Source organism: Homo sapiens, chromosome 7 (assembly GCF_000001405.40).
Source record: "Homo sapiens chromosome 7, GRCh38.p14 Primary Assembly".
NCBI classification, from domain to species: domain Eukaryota; kingdom Metazoa; phylum Chordata; class Mammalia; order Primates; family Hominidae; genus Homo; species Homo sapiens.
The window spans coordinates 18,026,414-18,028,764 of record NC_000007.14 but is presented as its reverse complement, the minus strand read 5'-3'; the positions used below and the strand labels follow the sequence as shown (position 1 = coordinate 18,028,764).

At 39.5% G+C, this 2,351-nt stretch overlaps 1 protein-coding gene across 1 annotated transcript; it reads left to right on the top strand.

Moving 5' to 3' along the window:
* Nucleotides 1–918: 918 nt before the first annotated feature.
* On the top strand, nt 919–1,995 carry PRPS1L1 (phosphoribosyl pyrophosphate synthetase 1 like 1). Its single transcript, NM_175886.3, is given in 1 exon segment — nt 919–1,995. A coding segment is annotated over 1 exon segment (957 nt). The 5' UTR covers nt 919–982; the 3' UTR covers nt 1,940–1,995.
* The last annotated feature ends 356 nt before the right edge of the window (nt 1,996–2,351 follow it).

The following is a 2,351-nucleotide window of genomic DNA, read 5'->3' as shown; positions in this document are numbered from 1 at the left end:
AATACATAAATATAATACTATGATATTTTTGTGACTGACTTTACCTTTAAAAAAATACCTAGGAGACATTTCCACATGATTACACTTAATCTATTTAATGGTCGCATATGTATATACAATAAATTATTTGGTAATTTACCTATTGATGAACATTTGTTGGTTCCCATATTTTGCTTTTATAAACAATTCTAGGGCAATTACTATTTGTCATGCACAATTTTTATACCCTAGAAGTAGTATAATACCTGACATATAGGAGGTGTTCACAAAATATTTATTGCATGAATGAATACAGCTACACTACTATGTAGCCATATATATTTGGGGTGCTTGTGAAAATTTCTCTGAAATAGATTCCTAGAAGTATACATGATGAGTCAAAGTTTATGTGCAAAATTACCCATGCAAAATCTACATATTTATACATTCCATCCGAATAGAAGACCTTATCTTAACATTTTGGCTACTTGATGTGTGAAAATAGCGTTTTCTTGATTACTTCCATTGTTTCACGTTTCTTATCCATTTTTTTTTTACTGTGATTGCCTATTTATGCCATTTTTCAACTTTCTATTTTATTGTCTTTTTCTCACTTCATTGGGGAAATTCTTTCTAAAATAATCTTTTGCATATACTTTAGTAGGTAATTTTCCTTTTAAACTTGGGTTTTGCTTTGTAGTTTTATGTTTTTATGCATTCAAATTTGTTTAAATAGCCCTGTGAAACTAATATAGGTGCTAATAGAAAAAAACTCCATACACTGTAAATACTTGATTATTTAGTCTAAAAGTGTGAAGTGGGAGGTGGCAAGCAGAAATTTTTTCAAGAGACCCAGGGTCAATTTGGGACCGCGCGCCGCAAGGGGGAAGGGACCCTAACGGTTGAGTAACAACCGGAAGCCATTAGAGTCTGTGCTTCACTTCCGTTCCAGCCTCAGCGGCAGCTGGATCGCTCGACGGAGTGCCTCTGGTAGTTGGCCAAGACGCCGAATATCAAAATCTTCAGCGGCAGCTCCCACCAGGACTTATCCCAGAAAATTGCTGACCGCCTGGGCCTGGAGCTAGGCAAGGTGGTGACTAAGAAATTCAGCAACCAGGAGACCTGCGTGGAAATTGATGAGAGTGTGCGTGGAGAGGATGTCTACATCGTTCAGAGTGGTTGTGGCGAAATCAACGACAGTCTAATGGAGCTTTTGATCATGATTAATGCCTGCAAGATTGCTTCAGCTAGCCGAGTTACTGCAGTCATCCCATGCTTCCCTTATGCCCGACAGGATAAGAAGGATAAGAGCCGGTCCCCAATCTCTGCCAAGCTTGTTGCAAATATGCTCTCTATAGCAGGTGCGGATCATATCATCACCATGGACCTACATGCTTCTCAAATTCAGGGCTTTTTTGATATCCCAGTAGACAACTTGTATGCAGAGCCAACTGTCCTGAAGTGGATAAGGGAGAATATCCCTGAGTGGAAGAACTGCATTATTGTCTCGCCAGATGCTGGTGGAGCTAAAAGAGTGACCTCCATTGCAGACCAGTTGAATGTGGACTTTGCTTTGATTCATAAAGAACGGAAGAAGGCCAATGAAGTGGACTGCATAGTGCTAGTGGGAGATGTGAATGATCGTGTGGCTATCCTTGTAGATGACATGGCAGACACTTGTGTTACAATCTGCCTCGCAGCTGACAAACTTCTCTCAGCTGGAGCAACCAGAGTTTATGCTATCTTGACTCATGGAATCTTTTCTGGCCCAGCCATTTCTCGCATCAACACTGCATGCTTTGAAGCAGTGGTAGTCACCAATACCATACCTCAAGATGAGAAGATGAAGCATTGCTCCAAAATACGAGTAATTGACATCTCCATGATCCTTGCAGAAGCCATAAGGAGAACTCATAATGGGGAATCTGTTTCCTACCTGTTCAGCCATGTTCCTTTATAACAGAATAACTTCTAGGTTATGCTATTTTAAAATAAAATAAGATTAATAAAAACAAACCTTGCCTTTATTTTTTCTTAGGTTTGATTAAAAGTTCAGCAGAAGATCCAGCTTGCTCCAGTGTAACTTTCTACATCCCACATCAGGTATATAAGAGTTTACCTTAAATTAGGGAAAAACAGGTTAAGAATAATCACTAGGATTTCCTGACTGGGTTGTCTCATCTGGCTTCTTTGATGATTTTGTTAGCCCAGCAGCTTTAACTACAGCCCTTCTGCTGCAAAGATTTCAGACTTCTGAGGGTGTTTTGTAGAGGTGTTTGAAAGTGGTTGGAAAGCTTACATGTAAATGCTTCGGAGTTTTCTTTTTTCAGAACAACTAGCAATAAAGCCACCCAATCTACCCCCTGCCCCAA